General features: G+C 34.2%; 2 long non-coding RNA genes across 3 annotated transcripts in view; one reads left to right on the top strand and one right to left on the bottom strand.

Annotated features, from left to right (window-relative positions):
* Positions 1–16,192, top strand: part of LOC105377483 (uncharacterized) — a 64,875-nt gene extending 48,683 nt beyond the window's left edge. Inside the window, exons 2-4 of one of the 2 annotated variants that reach the window (XR_007058326.1) lie at positions 13,166–13,200; positions 13,619–13,674; positions 16,117–16,192. This is a non-coding gene — a long non-coding RNA (uncharacterized LOC105377483). Of the gene's footprint in view, positions 1–13,098; positions 13,201–13,618; positions 13,675–16,116 lie in introns of both variants that reach the window. The other variant, XR_939336.4, reaches the window with a different exon arrangement.
* Positions 1–24,911, bottom strand: part of LOC107986195 (uncharacterized) — a 496,338-nt gene that overhangs the window by 400,892 nt on the left and 70,535 nt on the right. The gene's annotated exons all lie outside the window — the stretch shown is intronic.

Genomic DNA, 24,911 nt, shown 5'->3' with positions numbered 1-24,911 from the left:
ATCCTTTGGATCAGGAACTCATTCTTGAAATAATGGCATTAATCCATTCATGAGAGCAGAGCCCTTGTGACCTAATCACCTCTGAAAAGTTCCACCTCCCAACACTGTTACAATGGCAGTTAAATTTCAATGTAAGTTTTAGAGGGGACATTCAAACCATAGCACCTTGGAACCCAGCTTCATACAAGAGCTCTTTCAGAAATAAGCCTGCAAGTCATAGACTTATCAACAACTGTTCCTCTAATCATATTCTCTACAAAGAACAATTTGGTTAAGGGTTACAGACTGCCTTGTGGCCTTATTTATGTTTGCTACCTGAAATCTTGCTAAGTTTTTCAAGATATCTAAGCATGCTTGGTATTCTTTGGGTAAATGACAAAACAAGCAGAGACTGGCCTATCATTATGTATTTTTACTTTTCTATATTCTGTTCTTGGTGGTAAAAGTAGAAAAGGATTTAGGAGATGCCATGTTAACATTTGCATTAATTCACACTTTCTTTGGAAGTTTAATCCTATCAGTCAGGAAATGCAAAATTTAAGGTTCTTCCATTTATGTAAATTTGCTTGCTTTTAATTGGCTGCATTTTTAATCACTAGGGAGTAACTATTATTTTATTGTCCCATTTTTACACAATAGCAAGTTAAGTTTCATTTGTAGCACTTAATTGCCAAGTCACTCATCGATTTTGAGCTCAAACTAACTACATTTCCATTGCTCGATGCAGAATACTGTTTAAAAGAATATACATTTTGCGCATCCAAAATGACAAGCATGCACAATGACTTTACAATTCACATTGCTAAATGAAGTCATAGAGCAATAAGCAGATTGGTAAGCCAAAAACCTAAAGCTTTTATAAATGCATGAATGTAGCCTCCAATTTATCCGTATCCCTGGCTTCTCCATCTCCCACCATCTCCTTCTCCTTTGGGCATCTCAATGATCATTATCACCTCAACCAGAGAATAAGCAAGTGAAAAAGAAAAGCATGAAATTCAAATCAGCTTGCTGCTTTTTAGTAGACTCTTCAAAAGGTTTGTGGGAGAAAAAGCCAAAATTAATGGCTAAAATGAGGTTTGGAGAATATGTTAGATTTCATTTATTTATGCCCTTCTGCACTTGCCCAGCCCATTAACACTAACAATTGAAAGTTCATTTCATTTATCACAGCACACTAAGCAAATGCTATTGTTTTCATTCAAGACCACAAAAACAAAGTAAGATTTTAAATTGCTGCAGGAGGGACTATTATAGAAGTAAACTAAATGACTTCAGGAAGACAAAAGAACTAGTTACCAAAAGAAGTTATGGAATCGTCCTCTCTGAAGATTTTTAGAAATCCAGGAAACAATTCCTTCAATGGGGACATGCTTGGACACAGAGAAATCAACCTGTAATTTCTTAAGGTCCTATGCTTTATAGTTTTACATTAACTCACTTTTTAAATGGGCAATCTGTGAATTAGTTTAAAAACAAGGGAAAATTTGGTATGGCTTAATTAATGATACACAACCCAGAAGCCCCCAGTCCTTCTCAAATTGTGATTACAAAATTTAGTTGCATTGCTGTTAAAATTCAATGTATAATGACCCAAATCTCCACATTTCTAGATTAATAATAGTGTCCCCTTCCCCATACATGTGTACAAATTATGCAAGATTCCAGGTTTTTAAATTCTGGCTTGTGAGTCAGACATCCTGTGTAGATCTCCATAACTTTGCCTTCCAAAGAAGCTGGCCTGCTGATCATGGCTCCCATGACTTACTTCAACAGTAACTACTGAAACCTGAATATCATACAGAAATGGCCCTGTCCCCAGAGTCATGCTCGCTGTTTGCACAGCTACTAAGGAAGTGTTCTGTTGATGAACCTAGAGTTTAGCAGTTTCTTGAGATATAAAGAGAAACACCCCTCGCCCCAAATAACTAAATAAAAAAAGAACTGCTTGGGCCCCAAGCATTAATTGGTTTTGTAGCTCTTATTTGGCTTACTGAATCTATATCCACTGTATTTTTAGACAGAGAATTGTTATTCTTACCCCAGGAAAACTATGCTACAAATCAAGTTGCATAAGAAAACTTGGGCTATGCATATTGAGTCGGGAATATTTAGCTTCAGTCCTCATCTGCTTCTCTCCAGGTACCACATGCAGTTTGACCACATGGTAAACCATAATCTTGAACAGCAAGCTTTGCATTTCCTGAGGGAAATCACAGTGGCTCATCTCAATATTCCTCACCAAACAAATGTTTATTAGATACCTATTGCTAGTATACATTGCATGTGAACATAGGAAGGTACCTGCCTTGCCTTGCTAGAGGAAATAGAAGACACTATGTGAACACCTCAGAGACACCTGATCCAGTCTCGGGGGATCAAGAAGGTTTCCTGGAGGAAGTAACATCAAAATTGTGACCTGCAAGAAGATCAGGAAGCTATCAGGTAGAAAAAGGTAAAAAGGTAAGGAGTATATTTCAGGAAAAGGACTACACATGCAGGAGGACATGTGCTCATGAAACTTCACACGATTCAGCACAGCTGGGGCAGAATAGCAGCAAGACACCACTAGAACTAGTCATAAAGAATCTTGAATGCCATGCCGAAGAACTGGAGCTTTATCTAAAGGGCTACAGAAGAGTCATTAATTGCTTTTAAACACAAGAGTGATAGGATCAAGTTTGTGCTTTAGAAAGATAATTCTGAAAATTTGTTGTAGAAGACTGAGGTTGGAGCCCCTTGGTAGAAGTACAGCATACTGTCAGATTATAAAAAAATAGTACAATTCCCTGAAAGAGGTAGAATTGGAGCTGGGCCCTGGAATTGGAGAAAGGCTATTTAGGACTATCAGAACAGCATGGATAAGGTTAAGGAGGCAGAAAAATGAGAGGACAAAATGTGTAATGAGTGGAAAGTAGATGACTAGGCCAAAGTGTGGGCCTTGAGAAAGAATTTGGTATGCAGCGATGCTACAAGAGTAATTGGAAACAAAATCAGAGATCCCAAATTGCCCACTGACTAATTTCATTCTGATAGCAATGCAGAGTTTTTGAAGTGTCTTGACATGATCCAGTTTTAGAAAGATGATTTAAGGAGTGAAGAAATGTTATTTTGCGCATCTAAACTGAGACGTGAGCTTTTCAGTGGCAGAGATCATCTCATTGCTATGTGAATTTTCAGGACCTCACACTGCATACATTCAGTAGGTGCTCAATAAATGCTTATTCTTTAACCAGAAGGTGGTTGGATGGATGGGTGAGTGGATGTATGAATGGATAGAAGGATGAATAAACAGATGAATCATTGCACCCCTAGGATAAGTGAGCTCTGGGTGAAATAATTTATCTGAGCAAACAAAAACCTAGGAAACCTATAAAATAGGCCATGGAACCCTCACCATGCCCTGCAGAAGCTAACAGAGAAAAAAAGTCTTCTTTATCCCCTTTAATGAGGTCTGCATCTTGGTTCTTGACAACTCTTTTAAGTGTCTCTCCCAAAAATATGCTGTGTGAACTATCCATTGAGATGTTGTTTCCTTCAAGACTATCTTCAAACTCTTGAACTTTAATAGCTATGAGTTCCCATTTTTCCTGATGAATAAGACAAAAGGCTTCCCTTCCTAACATCATATACTAAACCGTGGGTACAGAAATGAAAATATATTACATTTTATAGGGCAACCATGTATTCTTTTCCCCAGAAATGAACATCCCTTCTCACACCTAAAATAAAACTCTTAGAACTGGCTCCTTAATTAGAAAGAATAAGTTGTTTCCTTGATTAATTGCACATTGCAGAAAAAAAGACTATGTAGGAGGTAATAATTTATGGTAGCAATTTGAGGTGGTTTTGTCTTAAACTTTCCATGGTTTCATACTGTAGATTTTGGAAAACATAGTACTTTGTCAAAAAGGGAAGGGGGTGGAGGAAGTAAAATAAATATTTAAGCCCAGAGAGATCATTCCAACAAATGTTCATTCTTAGATCATCTGTTCTTCATTTCATGATATATGTTATAAACAACAGCCTCACTCCAGCTTTTGCATTGCTGAATACTTTAAAATTCAACAAATATGTTAGTGAACATATATAATGTATTGTTGTAGTTTGCATTCACAGATAACACTACTAATGGAGTTGTTTGCCATGTATGTGGGTAAGGTTAAAAATCTGAGAGAGATAAACAGTTTTTCCACATGGGCAGATGCATGGGAGGACTGTTTTATTTTTGTAGTTCTAGAAACCATTTTAGAACAAGTCATTTCTTATGACTCTGTCTTTGCTCAATGGGTTACCAATGTCTTTGCTCTAAAAGAGCTACATGAATTTACTCATTGCCAAGTGGGTCTTTTGGCTGCTGCTGTACCAGAATATCTTAACAATATAGCAAGGCTGTAAATTGTATTTCAGATGATAAGTTAACATTTCTTCTTCTGGAACCTGCAGTCATCTCCTGTTTCAGTTTTCGACAAAGCTGCTAGTTTTTCTATCTTTTGGAAAAGGAAGAACATAGCATTAGGCAGGGTTAGCAAATACTGGTCCATAGTTAAGTTTTACAATTTACAGAAAGTTAAACAAGTAAACCAGAAATACAAACACACAATATTGTAAGTTTCTCTAAAAGCCAAATTTATTCCACTTAAGTGACTGAACTTTTCATTGTGTTAAGATCATAACATCTACCCTCTTGACAATTTTTAAGTGTATACTATAGTCTTGTTAACTATAGGCACAATTTTGTACAGCAAACTTATTCATTCTCCATGGCTGAAACTTTAAGGATGCTGAATAGCTACTCCCCATTTCTCCCCATCCCCATTCTCTGACAACCACCATTCTACTCCTGCTTCTATGTGTTCAAATTTTTTAGATTCCACATCGAAAGTGAGATTATGCAGTATTTGTCTTTGTGTTCCTGGCTTATTTCATTTAGCATAATGTCCTCCAGGTCCCTTCATGTTGTCACAAATGACAGGACTTCCTTTTTGTATGTTTGAATAATATTCTATTGTATGTATATATCACATTTTCTTTATCAATGGACACTTAGGTTGTATGTACATCTTGGCTATTGTAAATAATACTGCAATGAACATAGGAGAATAAATATATCTTCAAGATCCTGTTTTCAATTCCTTTGATAAATAACCAGAAATGGGATTGCTGAAACATATGATAGTTCTATTTTTAATTTTTTGAGGAGCCTCCATACTGTTTTCCATAGCAGTGGCAACACTTTACACTCCTACCAACAATGTACAAGAGTTCTAATTTCTCCACATCCTCACCAACACCTGTTTTGTTTTGTTTTATAACAGCAATTCTAAAAGATGTGCAGTGATATTTTGTTTTGGTTATGATTTGCATTTCCTTGATAACTAATGATGTTGAGCATCTTTTCATACACCTATTTGCCATTTGTATGTCTCCTCTGAAGAAACGCCTATTCAATTATTTTGCTCATTTTGTAATTGGGTTATTTGTTTTCTTGCTATTTCCTTATAGGAATTCTTTATATATTTTAAATAGTAATCCCTTATCAGATATATGCTTTGCCATTATTTTCTCCCATTCTGTGGGTTGCCTTTTCACTCTGTTGATAGTTTTCTTTGCTGTGCAGAAGCATTTTAGTTTGATATATTCATATTTGTCTATTTTTGTTTCTGTTGCCAATGCTTTTGGTGTCATATGCAATAAATCATTTCCAAGAATAATGTCATAAAGTTTTTCCCCTATTTTTTTCTTCTACGGGCTTTACAGTTTGAAGTCTTTTATTTATGTCTTTAATACACTTGTAGGTGATTTTTGTGAATGATGTAGGATAAGCGTCCAATTTCATTTATCTGCATGTGAATAACCAGTTTACCTAAGACCATTTGTTAAAGAGACTCTCCTTTACCCATTGTGTATTCTCAGTAAATTTGTCAAAGATCAGTTGATTGTAACTCAAAGGATTATTTCTAGGCTTTCTATTTTGTTCCACTGTCAATATGTTTGTTTTTACACCAGCAACACCTTACACCAGCAACTACAATTAACTACTCTAGTTTTGTACTGTATTTTGAAACAAAGGAGTGTGATGCTCTAAGTTTTTTTTCTTTCTCTCAAGAATGTTTAGTTCTTTGGGGTCCTTTGTGGTTCCATGGAAGTTTTAGAATTGTTTTTCTATTTTTGTGAAAAAAAAAATGACATTGGGATTTTGATAGGAAATGCAGTGAATCTGTAGATCACTCTCAGCAGTATGAACATTTTAACAATATTAAGTCTTCCAATCCATGAACACAATATGTCTTTCCATTTATTTGTATCTTCTTTCTTTCCTCAGTGTTTTATAGTTTTCAGTGTACAAATCTTTCACATACTTAGTTTATTCCTAAATATTTTGTTCTTTTCAATGCTATTGTAAATGAGATTTTTTTCCCTTTTTTTTGAGTAGTTTGTTGTTAATGTATATAAACACAGCTGATTTTTGTATGATGATTTTGTACCCTGCAATGTTACTGAATTGGTTTATTCATTCTAGTAGTTTTTGCGTGTGTGTGAAGTCTTTAGGGCTTTCTACATATAAGATTATGTCATCCGCAAATTGGGATAATTTTACTTCTTCTTCATCCAATTTGGATACCTATTTCTTTTTCTTGCCTAATTGCTCCAGCTAGGACTTCCAGTACTGGTATGGTTTCAATATGATTTGTCCCCACTGAAAGTCATGTTGAGGCTTGCTTCCCAATGTGGTGGTGTTAGGAGGTGGTAATTTTAAGAGATGATTAGATTATTAAGAAAAATTAATGCCTTTCTTGCCAGAATGAGTTCTCACTCTCACAGGAAAGGATTTGTTACCATGAGATAGGGTTGTTATAAAGCAAGGATGCCTCTTATGTTTGGTCTCTTTGCATGAGCACACTTCTTCCACTTTCCACGAGTGGAAGAAGTATAAGTTACCTCACCAGATGCAGCTGCCTGATCTTGAACTTCCCAGTTACCTGAACCATGAACCAAATAAATTTTTTTATAATAAATTACACAGTCTCAGGTATTCTGTTACAGCATCAGAAAATGGACTAAGATAAGTACTATGTTGAATAGACGTGGTGAGAGTGGACTCTTGTCTGTTCCTAATATTAGAGGAAAAGCTTTCAGTTTGTTACCACTGAGTATGATGTTAGCTGTGGAGTTCTTACATATGGCCTTTATTATGTTGAGGTAATTTCCTTCTATTCCTAGTTGAATAACAGTTTTTATAATAAAAATGCATTTAATTTTGTCAAATACTTTTTCTGCACCTATTGAGATGATCATGTGATTTTTATTCTTCATTCTGTTAGTGTGGTGTGTCACATTAATTTATTTTTACACATTGAGCCATCCTGGCATTCCAGGAATAAATCCCATGTGGTCATGGTGTATAATCCTTTTAATGTGCTGTTGAGTTCTGTTTGCTTGTTTCTATAGGGATTTTACATCTATGTTCATCAGGCATATTGGCCTGTCATTTTATTCTCTTGTAGTGTCTTTGTTTGGCTTCGGCATCAGAGTATTTCTGGCATCTTAGAATGAGTTTGGAAGTATTTCCTACTCTTCAACTTCTTAAAAGGGTTTTAGAAATATTGGTATCACTTTTTTCCTTAAATGTTCTGTAGAATTTATTAGTGAAACCATCAGGCTCTGGAATTCTTTATTGTTGTTTGGAGGGCTTAGATTACTGACTCAATCTCCTTACTAGTTATCAATCAGTTCATATTTCCTATTCCTGATTTGATCATGTCGTATATGTTTCTAGGAATTTATCCATTTCTTCTGAGCCATACAGTTTGTTGGCATATAATTGTACATAGTAGTCTATTATGATCTTTTTTCACATTTCTGAAGCATTAGTTGTAATGTCTCCTCTTTCATTTCTGATTTTATTTATTTGAGTCTTCTCTCTTTATCTCCATCTAACTAAAGTTTTGTCAATTTTGTGTATCCTTTGAAAAACCAACTTTTAATATCATTGATTTTTAAATTGTTTTTCCATTATTTGTTTCATTTATGTCTGCTCTAATCTTTATTTTCCTTCCTTCTGCTAACTATTACTTAGTTTGTTCTTCTATTTCTGGTTTATTGAGGTGTAAAATTGTTAATTTGAGTTCTTCCTTCATTTTTAATGAAGTCCCTTACTACAATAAACTTCCTTCTTAGGACTGCTTTTGCTATATTCCATAGATTATAATATGTTTTATTTTCATTTTCATTTATCTCAAGATATTTTCTGGTTTAACTTTTGATTTTTTAACCCATTGGTTGTTCAGGAATGTACTGTTTAATTTCCACATATTTGTGAATTTTCCAGTTTTTCTTAGCCATTGACTTCTAGTTTAATTTCATTGTAGTCAGAGGAGATACATGGTATGATTTCAGTCCTCTTAAGTTTGTTAAGACTTATCTTGTGACCTAACGTGATCTACCATGAAGAATGTTTTATGTGCACTTGAGAATAATATATATCCTGCTGCTGTTGAGTGGGATGTTTTTTATATATTTGTTAGGTCCATTTGGCCTATATTATTGTCCACTGTTTCCTCATTGATTTTTCTCTCTAGATATTCTAGACATTATTGAAAATGGGTATAGAAATCTCCTATTACTGTATTGCTATTTCTCCCTTCCGTTTAATCAGTGTTTGCTATATATTTATATATGCTTATATACATAAGCAAACATTGATTAAACAGAGGGAAGAAATAGTAATTCAATAAAAGTAGATTATAAATAGATACTTGGTATTGAAATCTCCTACTATTATTTATACATCTATAGATATATATCTGAATATCTATATATATATATATATGCTCTGATGTTAGGCGTATATTGATCTATAATTGTTATATCTTTCTTGGTAAATAATCCTTTTATGATTACATAATGTCTTTCATTATCTCTTGTGACATTTTTTACTTAAACACTATTTTGTTTGATATGTATAGCTACTCATACCTGGCTCTCTTTTGGTTGCCATTTGCATGAAATATCTTACCACACCATCTCTTCACTTTTAGCCTATGAGTATCTTTAACTTTACAGTGAATTTCTTGTAGACAGCTTGTTCTTGGATCTTTTTTTTTTTAACCCATTCAGCTACTTTGTATTTTGTCTTTTTGTTTTTTTGTGTGTGTTTCCTTCTTTTTCTTTTTTTGCTTTTTCTTTTTTTTTTTTTCGGATGCGATCTCGGCTCACTGCAACCTCTGTCTCCCAGGTTCAAATGATTCCCCTGCCTCAGCCTCCCAAGTAGCTGGGATTACAGGTGCCTGCCACCATGCCCAGATAATTTTTGTATTTTTAGTAGAGATGGGGTTTCACCATGTTGGTCAGGTTGGTCTCAAACTCCTGATCCTCTGATCCACCCGCCTTGGCCTCCCAAGCTACTTTGTATTTTGATTGAGAAATTTAATCCATTTACATTTAAAGTAATTATTGATAGGGAAAGATTTACTGTTGCCATTTTGTTAATTTTTTTCTGTTGTGTAGTTCTTTTATCTCATTTCCTCTCTTGCTTTATTCCTTTGGGTTTCCTTGATTTTTAAAATTGATATACTTTAATTCCTTTCTTTTTTTCTTTTATCTATTTCCTATAGGTATATTGTTAAGGTTACCATAGGGTTTACATAAATCATCTTATAGTTATAACAGTCTACTTTAAGCCAATAACAACTTCACTTCAATAGCATACAGAGATTTTATATTTTTTCTTCTCACACATTCTTACTTCATGTTATTGATTTTACAATTTACATCTTTTTATAATATATATTAAGATATTTTTATAGTGACAGTTTTTAAAATACATTTGTCTTTTAACTTTTAAACTAGAATTTAAAATGGCCTATCCATCACTATTAGAGTATTATCGTTCTCTGTATTTCCATATATTTACCTTTACCAGTAAGTTTTATACTTTCATAGGCTTTTGTACGGCTGTTCAGTATACTTTCATTTCAACCTGAAAAACTCCCTTGAGCATTTCTTGTAAGGAATATGTAGTGGCAGTGAACTCCCTCAGCTTTTGTTTTTCTTGAAAAGTCTTTATCTCTCCTTTATTTTTGAAGAACAGTTTTGCTGGAAATGTTATTATTGATTGACCTTTTTTCTTTTTTTCTTTTTTTTTTTTTTCTTAATTTCAGCACATTGATCCCACTCACTTCTGGACTGTGAGATCTTTGCTGCAAAATCCATTAATACTATTGAGATTTTCTTGTACATGAGAAGTCCCTTTCCCCTTGCTGTTCTTAAAATTTACTCCTTGTCTTTGACATTTGACAATTTGCTTATAATGTGTCTCCATGTTGATTACTTTGGATTCTTCTTATTCAGGATTCACTGGGCTTTCCAAATCTGCATGCCCCCTTCCTTCCCCAGATTTGGGACATTTTCAGACATTGCTTTTGAATAAGTTTTCTGCTCTCCTCTCTCTCTCTCTCTCTCTGGACTTGATTGGTCTGCTTAACTGCTTAATGTTTTTCTATAAGTGCCTTAAATTTTCTTCACTCTTTTTAAATTCTCCTCTGAGTGGATAATTTTCAATGTCCTGTCTTCAAGTTCGTTAATTCTTTCTTCTGCTTAATCTAGTTGGCTGTTGAACTGCTCCACTAAATTTTGTTATTCAGCTATTACATCCTTCAGCTCCAAAATTTCTGTTTAGCACTTCTTTATATTTCATATCTCTTTGGTGAAATTCTAACTTTGCCCATGCATTGTTCTCCTGACTACATTAGCTGTTTTTTTAAAAATACATATATGTGTTCTTTCTCAGGTTAAAGATGCTTTTTGTACTCTCAGTTGTTATCATAAATATGGGTTAAATTTTATCAAATGGTTTTTCAGCATCTATTGAGATGATCATGTGGATTTTTCTTTCCCTTATTCTGTTAATGTGATAAATTAGGTTAATATTTTTAATTCATTGATTTTTGAATGTTAAGACAACCTTGTATTTTTTGGATGGACCTCACTTAGTCATGAGGTATTATAGTTTCCACATATTAATAGATTCAATTTGTTAATCTTATGTTTAAGAATTTGCATCTGTTTTCATAAAATACATAAGCCTATAACTTTCCCTTCTTTTGATATTCTTTTCAGGCTTTGATGTTAGGATTATGTTGGTCTCATAAAACAAGAAGTATTACCTCTTTATCTGGTCTCTGAAAAAGTTGTTTTAAGACTGATATATTTTCTTCTTTAAAAGTTTTGGAGAATTCATCAGTGAGGCCATCTCTTCCTGAAGTCTTTATGGGAAAGTTTTTACTTGAGGATTTAATTTCTTTAATATATATAAATTATTTAGATTTTTCAATTATTTCTTGTGTCAGTTTTGGTAAGTGTATTTTTCAAGATTTTAAAAAGTTCATCTTAGGTGTTAAGTTTATTGTCATAGAGTTGTACAAAATATGATTCATTATACTTCTAATTTCTTTAGGGAGTATGGTGATAAAACCTTTTCTTCCCTAATAGTAACTATTGGCTTCTTTCTTTTATTTTTGATAAGTCTTTCTAGTTATTAATAAAATTTTATTGAAATGTTCAAGGATGTAATCATATTAGTCAGGGTTTTCAAAAGAAACAGAACCAATAGAGGATCTACATAAAAAGATATTTATTATAAGAAATTGCTTATAAAATTATATAGGCTGAGTAATCCCAAGATCTTCAGTCAGCAAGCTAAAGACCCAGAAGAGCTGCTGGTATAGTTCCCATCTAAGTCTGAAGGCTTGAGAAGCAGAAGATCTAATGATATAAATTCCAGTCTGACTCCAAGTCCAAGTCTGAAGGCAAAAGACTGGCGTCTCAGCTCAAAGGCAGTCAGAGAGAGAATGAAGCTCCCTTACACAGCATTTTTATTCTATTTGGGCTGTCAATAAATTGGATAAGGCCAACCTACATTAGGGAGGGCAATCTGCTTTAATCAGTCTACCAATTCAAATGTTAACCTCATAAAGAAACACCCTAACAGACACACTCAGAAAAATGGTTAACCAAATATCTGGGTACCTCATGGCCCAGTGAAGTTGACACAGAAAATTAACAATTTTTGGCTTTGTAAATATTCTTACCTGCAGGTTTGTTTTCTACTTTATTTTTGCTTTTATATTTACATATACTTCTTTTGGCCTTCTTTGTATTTAATTTGTAGTTCTTTTCTATTTAATTTGTAGTTCTTTTCTATTCTCATGAGATATAAGCTTTGATGGTAGATTCTCAACCTTTTTTTTCTAATATATACATTTGAAGCTAATGGTATACTCTAAGTACTGTTTTACCTATGTCTTACAAGTTTTGATGTGTCCTATTTTCATGACCGGTCTGTTCAAAATACTTCATAATTTCAAATGGTCTTTCCTATTTGATGCAATGAGTTATCTTGAAAAGTACTGATTAAAAATTTGAAATTTGAGAATTCCAGATATTTTGATTTTTTTTTCTATGTTTCTGCTATTTATTTCTGGCTTACTTCCAATCTAGTAGGAGAACATATATTGTATGCTTTCAATCATTTGACATTTCTTAAGACTTCTTCATGACTCAGAATATACTCTTTTTGTTCAATGTCCCATGGCCATGTGGAAAGTGTATATTATTCCTTATATCAATTAGGTCAAATTGGTTAATGATGCTGGGTGCTTTATAAAGAAAAGAGGTTTATCTGGCTCATGATTCTGCAGGCTGTACAAGAAGTATGGTATCAGCATCTGCTTCTGATGGGGGCCACAAGCTACTTCCACTCATGGCAGAAGGTGAAGGGGAGCTGGTATGTGCAGAGATCACATGGTGAGAGAGGAAGCAAAAGAGAGAGGAGAGGGAGGTGCTAGGTTCTTTTTAACAACCAGCTATCATGGGAACTACTAGAGCAAGAACTCACTCATTACCACAAGGATGGCACCAGGCCATTCATGAGGGATTCACCCCCATGACTCAAACACCTTCCATCAAGCCTTATCTACACCATTGGGGATCAAATTTCAACATGAGGTTTAGGGGGAAATATCCACATTATAATAATATGTTAAAAGTTTTATAATTTCTTGGACATCTTCAAATACTTTTCTTTCTCCTTAACAGGTGCATGACATCTAGTTTGAATAGAAGACTCCTGAATTATAACTCTTTTTCTTTCTGTAATTCATAGATATTATTCCAGTCTTCTGCATTCTAGTGTTGCAGGTAAGTGGCTGATGATATTCCAATTCATTTTCTTGGGCAGAAAACATTCTTTTTGAATAATATTCTTATTTTGTTTGAAAATTTATAGCATATCTTTATACTTAGAATTCACTATTTTTATAAGTGTCTTCAATACTGCATGAATACTGCATGAATACTGCATTCAATCTTTCTTCACTTAGGAAAAAAATCTTGTTAAATAGTTGCTTGTTTTGCTCTGTCGCATACCTTCCAAAACGCCAATTTTTTTAATGTTAGATGTTCTGAAGCTATTGTCTTCTGTCCTTTCCCTCATGATTTCCAAATCTTCATGTTTTTGCTCTGTGCTTTTAAATCTTTTATCGAATTAACCTTCCAAGCATTAATTGGCATATGAACAGTGGCCATCTTTTTCCACATATTATTTATTCATTTGCAGATGCTCTTTATTTAGATGAGGAAGCTACCTTCTGTTTGCTGAATGTATTATTATAAGTGAGTACTAAACTTTGTTAATTTTTTTCATCTATTGATATGATTGTGTGGGTTTTCCTTTTTAGTCTTTTAATATTGGCAAATACATGGATTCATCTTTGACCATTAAAGCAATCTGCATTCCTGAGAATAAACACATTTAATAGTAATATAGTGTCCTTTTTCTTGCTTGCTGCATTTATTTACAAATGTATTTTAAAGGCTTTTGCATCTATGTTCATAAGAAATACTGGTCTGTAGTTTTCTTTTGTTATAATTTCTGATCTACTTTTGGTATCAGGATAATGCTGGCCTCTTAAAATAAGTTGGGAAGTATTTCCTTTTCTATTTTATGAAAGAGTTTATATAGCATTGGTATTATTTCTTCCTGAAGTGTTTGATCAAATTAGCCAGTGAAACTACATCTACTTGGATTGGGGGTGGGGGTTAATTCAATTATCGAATTAATGCAATTTCCTGAATAAAATAAGGATATTAAAATATCCAGGTTTCCATTTTGTTGACTAATGGTGGCCTAGAGTTTATTACAATATCTCTTATTATCCTTTTAATGCCTGTAGAGTCTGTGGTAATTTCCTATCTTTCATTTCCGATATTGGTTATTTGTGTCTTTTCTCTTTCCTACACCATCTGTCTAGCTAGTGTTTATCAATTTTGCTTATCTTCTCAAAGACCTAGTTATTGATTTCTTTTATTTTCTGTTCTGTTCATTTTTTCCAACCTCTTTTCTCTCTCTGCTATAGTTTAAAATGTTTCTATTGCCATATCTTCCAGATCACTGAGATTTTTTTCTACAGAATTTAATCTATTAATTCCTTGCAGTCAATTTTTCACTTCTAGAAATACTATTTGTCATTTTTATATATTCTATTTCTCTCCTCATTATATTAATAGCTCCCTTTACATGCTATAGCTGTTTCTTTGACTGATATTCCCATTATGTCTAGCATTTATAAGTCTGTTTCTATTGACTGATTTTTCTCCTTATAATGAATATATTTTCCTGCCTTGTCATATCTAGTAATTTTATTGGATTCTGAATATTGTGAAATTTATACAGTTAAATACTGGATTATGTTTTCTTCCTTTAAACAGTGGTGAACTTTGCTGTGAAATTCACTTAAATTAAATGCATACTTGATCATTCAGAGGATTGTTTTTAAACTTTCTTATGATGGATTTAGAATAGTCTTTATGCTGGAGCTAGATTTGTACTAATACTAAGGCAAGATTCTCCTAGTATTTCCACTAAATTGTCTGGGTTTTTAACAAGGACACTCTGGTCTGACTAGTCAGAACTCAAATATCTTTACAATCTACGTAAGCTTTCAAGAATTGTCATGGAGTTTCACCTCAAAAATGCAACAGATTCAAAGGAACTCCTCTGAAAATGTCTGGATCTCTTTTCTGCATAGTTCTTTCTCCTCTGGAACTCAGGCCCAAATGTTTAGCTGCCTTAAACTCCCCAAATTCTTATTTTTGTCTCCTCAATTCATTGAAATTACTATATTCTGCTTGGAAGACCATACATGCATTATGATCTGGAAAATGCCTGCAGGCAACAAATCAATTGCATTAATAGATTGTAGGTGTAGGGCTCACCTCTTTTGTGTGCCTTCTCCTGGGACCACTATAACCTTCACCGCCTGTTGCCCACTGTCATAAAACTGTTTTTCCATATAGTTGTTCAATTTTCCGTTTGTTTTTTTTTTTTTTTTTTTTTTTTTACTGTGGGAGGGTAAGTTAGGCCCAATTACTACATTATTGCTGGTAGCATAAAGTCTATCCATTGATTTATCTAGTTATGAATTTATGTTTTTGGCTTATGTACTGCATTTAGGTCACATTTTGCTATGTGGCTCTATTTTAATTTCTTCAGGTATGATTACTGTTTTTCTGTTTATGTTGTCATCTGTCTATTTCGGTAGTTCTAATTCCATTTTAATTTCTTCAAGTGCAATTATTGTTTTTCTGTTTATGTTATCATCTGCCTATTTCACTAGTTGCAATTCACTGCGCATGTGGTCTGTTTATCACATAACTTTTCTCAGCCTTTTGGACCCACTAAGATGATGATGATGATGATGATGATGATGATTTTGGATGCTTTCTGTTTTTGTTTTTGTTTTTGATTGCTCACTGGGACTCATGGTTGTTGGATTTCTTTAAGAGGCAGCATTCCCTAAAATGGCTAAGAGCTCAACAGTGTCCCTTCTGGTCCTCTGATGGATTATTGACTTTGAGGAAGCCTCCCTTTTCCTCATAGTCTCCCAAGCTTAGGGCTGGAATGACTCAATTACTTCTTTTCCTTTGGAAGTCCGGAAGACCAGTAATATTCATGACAGCCAATGTTACCTACAACCCTCATCCATAATGCTTACAGATCAAGATACTTTCTAGAATTGTTCACCTTATAATCCTTACATCCATGCTCCCATGCAGATCTCCAAGTGTTTCTTGAACTCATGGGGGAAACCCCCTCACTAGTAGTCTCTGCTGGTGCTTCTACAGAACTGAAGACTTCACGGAACCTGGGAGCCTACAGACCTCAGTAAAGGCCTAACTAAGAAGATATAGCTGAATAAAAATTGGACAACAAAGAAAGATGTCAATGTTTCTATTGCCATCAGGCAATATTAATTTTAACTTTTAAGATGTTTATTTTGGGCCTTCCCCCACGTGTCACTCCCTTAGTACTGTTTTCTAGGAGATAAAAGCTACATTCATAAAATAATCCATGTTGTTGGTTAATAATTTATTCTTTCAATGAAAGTTGTTTGCATTTCAATCACAACCTTTTATAAACACTAACTTAATCTAAAGGCATGTATCTGTTTGTAGGACTTTTAAATATGACAAGCTAGGGAGGAAGACATTTTCTTTGTGAATCCCATTATAATCATCCTAGAAATGGAATTGCTGTAGCATAGGATGTGAACACATTCAGCTTTCTTAGATATTACTAGGAATTTTACCAATAGCAGTGCATAAAACTGTTGTTACTCCTCACCCTCTGCAACGCTTGAAGGTATAAGATATTTAAAGTTATAGAAGTCTGATATGTGTAAAATATTAAATTATTGTGACTTTAATTTTTATTATTTATTATTTGCCATTTGGATAACTTCTTCTGTGAATTTACTGTTCATATTACTTGTTTGACGCTAGATTTTTTTTTTTTTTTTTGAGAGAGAGCCTTTCTCTGTCCCCAGGCTGGAGTGCAGAGGCGCAATCTCAGCTCACTGCAACCTCCACCTCCCGGGTTCAAGTGATTCTCCTGCCTCAGCCTCCCACGTAGCTGAGACTACAGGTGCCTGCCACCAGGCCCAGCTATTTTTTTTACTTTTAGTTGAAACGGGGTTTCATCATGTTAGCCAAGATGGTCTTGATCTCTTGACCGCGTGATCTGCCCACCTTGGCCTCCCAAAGTGCTGGGATTACAGGCATGAGCCACCACACCTGGCCGATTTCACACTAGATTTTATCTTTACTTACTGGTAGGTGGCCTTCGAATAGTCTGGGAATGAATCTTGTGCTGAAAGATTGTAAATATTTTCTTCCAAATCTGTGACTTCCCTTCAGATTATAGTTTTAATGTTAGAATTGTCAAATTTATCAACATTTCTGTTAGAGGTGGTGCCTTTAGTTCTTGTATTCTTATTTAAAAAGTCTTTTTCTGCCCTGAAATTATCCTATGTGTTCTTGTAAAACATTTTTAGTATTGTTCTCCATATTTAAGATATTTCCATCTGGAATTTATTTTTGTATGGTGTGAGATATGGATATAACCAGAAATATAATTATTTTTTCCTTAATGCAAGCCAAATTTTTTTTGGTTATTTATTTTATAAGCCCTGTTTATTACATCTTTGCCTCACTGATTCCCCACTGGCCAGTAAGGTCACTACTGTTTTACACCAAATTCTCCAATATGAGTCTATTTCTGGCCTCTCTCATCTATTTGTCTATCTCTGAATCAAGCCCAGGGATCAATGTTTTGTTGTTATGGGGAACTGGAATTTTTGAGAAGCTCACTGGTTACTGTCCTTTGCCATAGAAATGACCTCCGGATTGGCAGAAGGTTGTTGGAAACACCTAACCATCAGAGGCAAGGTAGATGTAATTAATATCATGGCATCAAGACCAGAGAGGTACTTAGCGTGCTTGACACACAGGGATTTCCAGTGATGGTGAATAAATCGTGATGTCCATACAGTTGAGATATAAGAACAGCTAAGTTCTAAATTGTTTGATTGGTGCAATAAAAAAAGAAATTAAGACCCAGTGAGCAGAAAGCTGATGTCAGGTACCATAATGGAAAATCACCATATTCATCCAGCTTCTAGATCTACATTTGTCAATATTGTTTGAATGGGTGATAAGATCTCTTTGAAGAATGACCCTGCAATGAAACCCGAGGAATATATGATAATTATCTTTCTTGCTTGCTCCAAAGAAACCCTAAGCTATTTTGCCAGGGTAAAGGCCACTTAGAAACAAGTAATACCTAGATTTTCCAAGGCAATGCAAAATACAATCTTAGTCCTCTAATTTTAAAGAGGGCTTATAGAAGCCAAGTAATCAATGCAGTTATAGCCCAGGATAATCTGATAGTACATCCATAGGTCCTTGAACTCACTCTGGTTCTTTCCTCAGGTTATAAATGTGTAATTGATGCAGATATATATATATATATAGCAGGTCACATTGGCTGGAATGGGAGATACAGTAGAAAGTCCCTGAAATTTGTGTCTCCTGGCCAAGGTAAATAATCCAAAGTAAGTAAATCAGAAGAAATACCATATCTCACAAAGAATTGCAGGGATGTCTACTACCATCAAAGAATTTAAGGATGTAGTGGTGATGCATCATTTCTCTATCAATTCATCTAGGCCTTCACAAATATCCCATGAACAACGGCAGATGAGGGTACTATAAACATAACAAGGAGGTAGCTCCAATCACAGTAACTGTGTGAAATATAATCATTTTACTGAAGCAGATCAATGCAGATTCTGGAATTTAATAAGCATTTATTTATTTAACAAAATTTTCTTATCAGTTCCCTGAGTATGGAGAATCAGAAATAGTACTTTTTCTTAGCAAAAAAGCAATTTACCTTCACTGTCCTGCCTTACAGCTATTTGACTCTCCTCCCCTCTCTTATGTAACTTAATTTGGCACTAGATGATAGTAAACTCTGTGCACATGTATATTTATATGTATATGTGTATGGTTTTTTTGCTTTGAAATTGCAAAAAGTAACATGTATTTGATAATGATGATTTTCCACTTCATTTCCTAAGTTTTCATGTTTTTATTCACCAGTAGACTAATTGTATCTCAAGCTTTGTAATAAACTGGTCAAATCTTTCATTTTTTTCTCATTCAGCAACATTAAACACATAGAGCTCAGAAGTGAATTTTCCTTTGACATGCAATAATCTTCAGACATTTTGAATGCAACAAAAACTTCTCTATGTTTCCATCTCATAAGGTAAGGGTATTGGCTAAGGGTATTGTAAAACTCTCCAGCCATTTGAAGCTCTCCTGCACAATGAAATACATGAAATGCTGTAGGTTTAGAGATTGCTGGATGATTTCAACTTACAATTGAAATTATCATAACTGTTTCATTCAAACTTTGATATTTCTGCTACTATATTTTACATTTTTTTTCATGGTGAAAAATAATGAAAACCTTTTCACAAACATTCTTAAACTTCTCTATGCATTATTTAATAATAAAAACCTGCTTGGTCCTACAGAAGTCAGACCTCCTTTAAATCTCCTAATATACCATTTTAATTTCCTGCGTGGATTTTGTTAACCTGTCAAGGGTTGTAAAACAGGTAACAGAGAAATTTTGAGCATTAATAATCTATTTTTTACAGATGTGCTCCTCTCTACCTCATTAGTAGACCTGACACCAAACTACTTTCTATGGATTGGCTGAAAAATCTCACCTCAAAGAATCAGACACCAATACTAACACTGTATTAGAAAAAAATGTGCATATGGTCTCCCAAAGGTACTCATCTAGTTATTTCCCATTTTCACATTTACAAATACTAATTGGTCCACCTAGGTGACACCCTCAGATCAGAGAAAATTCGAGTGATAGATAATGGAAATAAATCTTTAAAGACACTGGACCAAGACATACGAGCTAGATACGTAAATGTCTTGTTTAAGATGATGGCTAGGAAGGTACCAAGAGCAGATTTTACCTAATTGATAATTTTTCTTAAGACCACTAATACGTATTAATAACTATTAGCATAGTAACAAATCCATCAGAGAAGATGGAAATATTCGACCCAGGAAATAAGAGTGATGTAATGAGATCATCAGAAACTTTTTCGTTAGTTCTGACTTCAGACTTCAATTGATCACTTATTAGCTGTGTGATCTAGGGCAAATTATTGCACTTCACTTTTACCATCTGTAAGTTGTAAATAGTAACACATACCTGAGACAATTGTTGTGAAAATTAAGTAATGAAATACATCTAGCACATCATTAAGACTCTGTGAATGTTAGCTTTTTAAAAATATACATCTATTTTAATAGAAAAAAAAAACACCTCAAAATTTAGAAAGGCAAGATGATTTCTTACATTTCCTCCAGTTTGATGTTTCTGATGATATGTTTCCAAATGAAGGCAGAAGAATCAGGGAAACTTGCTTAGCTCTTATTTAGAAGCTCAAATGCCACCAAACTTCACTTCTGCAGCATGGCGTTCTCACATATTATCAGTTTCCACTTATACAAACCAATTTGACCATGCAGCATATTCACTACACCGCCGGGACAAGAACAAGTATTCTAGTTAAGAAGATAGACTTTTCTGTGTTGGAATTACAGTCCCTAAATTCAAACTTAACTCCCAGGATATCTCCCTTTCCAACATGCCTGAGAACACAGACTAATCAAGTCCATTTATCTCCTACCTTAAGGGAGATCCCGCTAACAGCTTTGTAAATAGTGCTTTTCACAAATCTTAAAAGTCAAGATTAACAATAAAAGTAAATGCAAACCCATGGGAAATGCTAATGGTAAAATGATAATGAAATTACCTCTAGCCCTCCTTCTGATGAAAAGTTTTCATCGTTCTCTTTGGATTTGTTTTGCTAAAGCATATTCTGATTTTCTTGTATTGTTTTTATGTTTTTGTTTTGATAAAGCATATTCTGTTTTTCTTGTATTGTTTCTATGTTTTTGTATTTGAAGCTAGGGAGTGAAAAAAGTAAAGACAGCATAGCAGTTATGTAGTTTACAAGATTACTTGATGTTTCACTGGATGCCATCTTAATAATACTAGGATGTATATTTAAAGAAGTAAAATTATATCTACTTGCAGATAACATGATTCTCTATGTTAAAAAAAAAAAGATTCCACAAAAAAAGCTATTAAAACTAATAAATCATTTCAGTAAAGTTGCAGGAAGCAAAATCAGCATTAGAAAACCAGTAGCTTTTTTTTTTTATTTTTTTTTTGAGATGGAGCCTGACTCTGTCACCCAGGCTGGAGTGCAGTGGCATGATCTCCGGTCACTGCAACGTCTACTTCCCAGGTTCAAACGATTCTCCTGCCTCAGCTTCCTGAATAGCTGGGATCACAGGCACCTGCTACCATGCCCAGATAATTTTTTGTATTTTTAGTAGATACAGGGTTTTGTCATGTTAGCCAGGCTGGTCTCAAACTCCTGGCCTTAAGTGATCTGCCCACCTGGGCCTCCCAGAGTAATGGGATTACAGGCCTTGAGCCACCGCACCCAGTCCAGTAGCATTTTTTCATGCCTAAATAACAGCCTAACTGAAAAAAAAAAAAAATCAAGAAAACTAGACTGTGATAGCATCAAAAAATTAGAATACTTTGTAATAAATTAAACCAAGGAGGTAAAAGACCTGCACACTGAAAACAATAAAACATTGACAAAATAAATTACAGAGGACACAAATTAATGGAAAGATATTCCATGACAATGGGTTAGAAGAATTAATATTGTTAAAACGTCCATACTACTCAAAGCAATTTACAAATTTAATGCAATCCCTATCAAAACCCAAGGATATTCTTTACAGAAATAGAAAAAATAATCCTAAAATTTATATGGAACCACAAAAGACCCTGGATAGCCAAAACAATTCTGTGAAACAAAAGTTGGCAGTATTATACTTTCTGATTTAAAACTCTTTTACAAGGTGATAGTAATCAAAACAGTATGGTACTGGTGTAAAAACAGACACAAAGGCACGAGAGAATAGAGAGCATAGAAATAAATCCAACCACATACAATCAACTAATTTTTAACACGGGCACCAAGAGGACACACTGGGGAAAGGAAAGTCACTTTAACAAATGATGCTGGGGAAACTGGATTTCTACGTGCAAAAGAATGAAATTTGACTTACATTTTATGCCATACACAAAATTCAGCTCAAAATCGGTAAAATACCTAAACGTAAGACCAGAAACGATAAAACTCTTAGAAAAAAATATAGGGGAAAAATTCCTGAACAATGGCTTTGGCAATAATTTTTTTGAGTATCACATCAAAAGCTCAGGCCCCCAAAACAAAAATAAATAAATCGGATTACATCAAACTAAAAAGCTTCTGCATACAATCAACAAAATGAAACAACATCCTACAGATCAAAAAAAAACTTGCAAACCATATTATCAAATAAGGCGTTAGTATTCGAAATTTATAAAGAACTGAGACAGCTTAATACTAGAAAAACAAATAATCCTATTAAAAAATGGGCAAAGGACCCAAACAGATCTTTCTCCAGAGAAAACATAAAAACGGCCAACAGGTATATGAAAAAGTGTTCTACATCATTAGCCATCAGGGAAGTGCAAATCAAAACCATGATGAGAACTACATCACATCATTAGGATGGCTCCTGTAAAAAATGAAAATTAAAAAAGATAAATGCTGGTTGAGGGTATGAAGAAAGGGAAACTCTTGTGTGCTGTTGGCAGAAATGTAGATTGATACAGCCATTATGGGAAAGATTATGGAGGTTTCTAAAGAAATTAAAATTGAAACTACCACTCCCATATTCATTGCAACATTATTCTAGCCAAGATGTGGAAACAACCTATGTGTTCATCAAGCGACACATGAATAAGGAATATTATTCATTCCTAAAAAACAATGTGGTCGTGCCATTTGCCACAACATGGATGAGCCTGGGGGAAGTTACTAAATGAAATAAGCCAGACGCAGAAAGAAAAATATTGCACGATCTCATATGTGGAATCTTAAAAAAAAATTTAAATATACAGAAACAAAGAACAAAACAATGGTTACTAGGGGCAGGGAAGATGTGGGGTGGAAATGGGGAGATATAGGTTAGAGGATTCAAACTAGCAGATGTGTAGAATGAACAAGTCTAAAGATCTAATGACATATAATCATGTTGAGTAGCTGGGACTACAGGCGTGTGCCACCACACCTGGCTAATTTTTTTTATTTTTAGTAAAGACGGGGTTTCACCATGTTAGCCAGGATGGTCTCGATCTCCTGACCTTGTGATCCACCCGCCTCAGCCTCCCAAAGTGCTGGGATATAAATTATATTTATATAAATATAAAAAATATATGATTTTTATAATTTTCTCCTTATAATACATCTTCATCTCGGACACAACCAAAAAAGCAATACTAATGAAAAATAAATAAAGGCTAAGGAATTCTTACAGATTAAAGGAGACTGAAGGGATATGACAACAAAATGAAACATGATTCTTGATTACATTCTGAAATATAACAGCCCTTAGTGAAATATTTGGTAAACTAAAATCATTACCAAAAATATTTGGTAAATAAAATCTTTAACTGTGATAATAGCATTTTATTAAGGTTAATTTCTTGATTGTGATCATTGTAATGCGGTTATGGAAAACAATATCCCTATTTTTGGTAAACACATATTAAATTATTTAGAACTAAAGGAGTATCATGTTTGCAACTTACTCTCAAATGATTCAGAAATATGTTTGTGTGCATATAGCTATATGTGTATGCATGTGTATGAGTGTATATTTAAACACATATACCTATATACATATATACATACATGTAGTCAATCATTATTCACGGGTTCCATATTTCCAAATTCAATACCTCACTAAAATTGATTTGTAATCACAAAATCAATACATGTGACACTTTTGGAGTCATTTGTGGACATGCACAGAGTGGTGAAAACATGAGTTGCCAAATAAGCACAAATCCAGCTGAGGTCAAACAAGCTATCCCCTGCCTTCTTGTTTCACCTCTCACACTGTAAACAAATGTCCTTTTCACAATCTATTTAGAGTAACATTTTTCACATGCTTATGCTTTGTATTGGTGATTTTGCTGTTTAAAATGTCCCTCAGACATAGTGCTGAAGTGCTGTCTAGTGTTCCCAACAGGAGGAAGGCTGTGCCTTCTGGAGAGAATATATGTGTTAGAAAGTCTCTGTTCAGGCATGAGTTATGGTGCTGTCGGTCATGAGTTCACTGTTAATCAACAATATATTTTAAATAAGTTGTCTTTAAACAGAAATACACATAAAACAAAGTTTTGTATTTGTGGAATCCAGTTGTGGAAAATGTTGTGACCAGAGACTCATGGGAACCTAACCCTGTATTTCCCTTAGGAACAATGACTCGGTATTTGCTAATTCAGTGTTTGCAGTGGCTTTAAAGAACAAAACTAAGACAAATAACAAGAATACAGAAAGAGAGAGAGAAAGAGAGTGAGAGGAATGATAAAGCAAATGTGGTAATATTAATTTAGAAAATCTAGAAGAGAATTATACAAGAATTTTTTCTACTATTTTTGTAGGTTTTCTGTAGGTCTAAATGTTACAATGAAATTTAAAGATTAAAAGCAAAACAAAATGCTGCATCCTTGGTTCAGAAACTTCTTTCAGAATCAGGAGCAATCTAGAGGCAGATGAGGGGAGGTGCACCAAGATGTGGGAGTCTGAGAGGCAGGCGTCTGTTTACTCTGGGTGACCCTAAGCAGAATAAGTAGGAGAATATGAATAATGGTCAAGAAAAGAAGTAAGATGTACAAGAGGCATGAAGAGTCCTGAATGTAGAAGAATCATGGGGTCAGAGGCTACTTTGATTTGTGGGAAATCGGGAAACAAGGTAAAAAAAGATAGATTCGACCAAGCATTCAGATTTAAAACTTTAATGTGACGCGATTGGAAGTTCTGCTTGATAGACAC

The sequence above is a fragment of the Homo sapiens genome, chromosome 4, assembly GCF_000001405.40.
Source record: "Homo sapiens chromosome 4, GRCh38.p14 Primary Assembly".
Taxonomy (NCBI): domain Eukaryota; kingdom Metazoa; phylum Chordata; class Mammalia; order Primates; family Hominidae; genus Homo; species Homo sapiens.
Note: the sequence above shows the minus strand (reverse complement) of the source record. Positions and strands in the feature narration are given on the sequence as shown.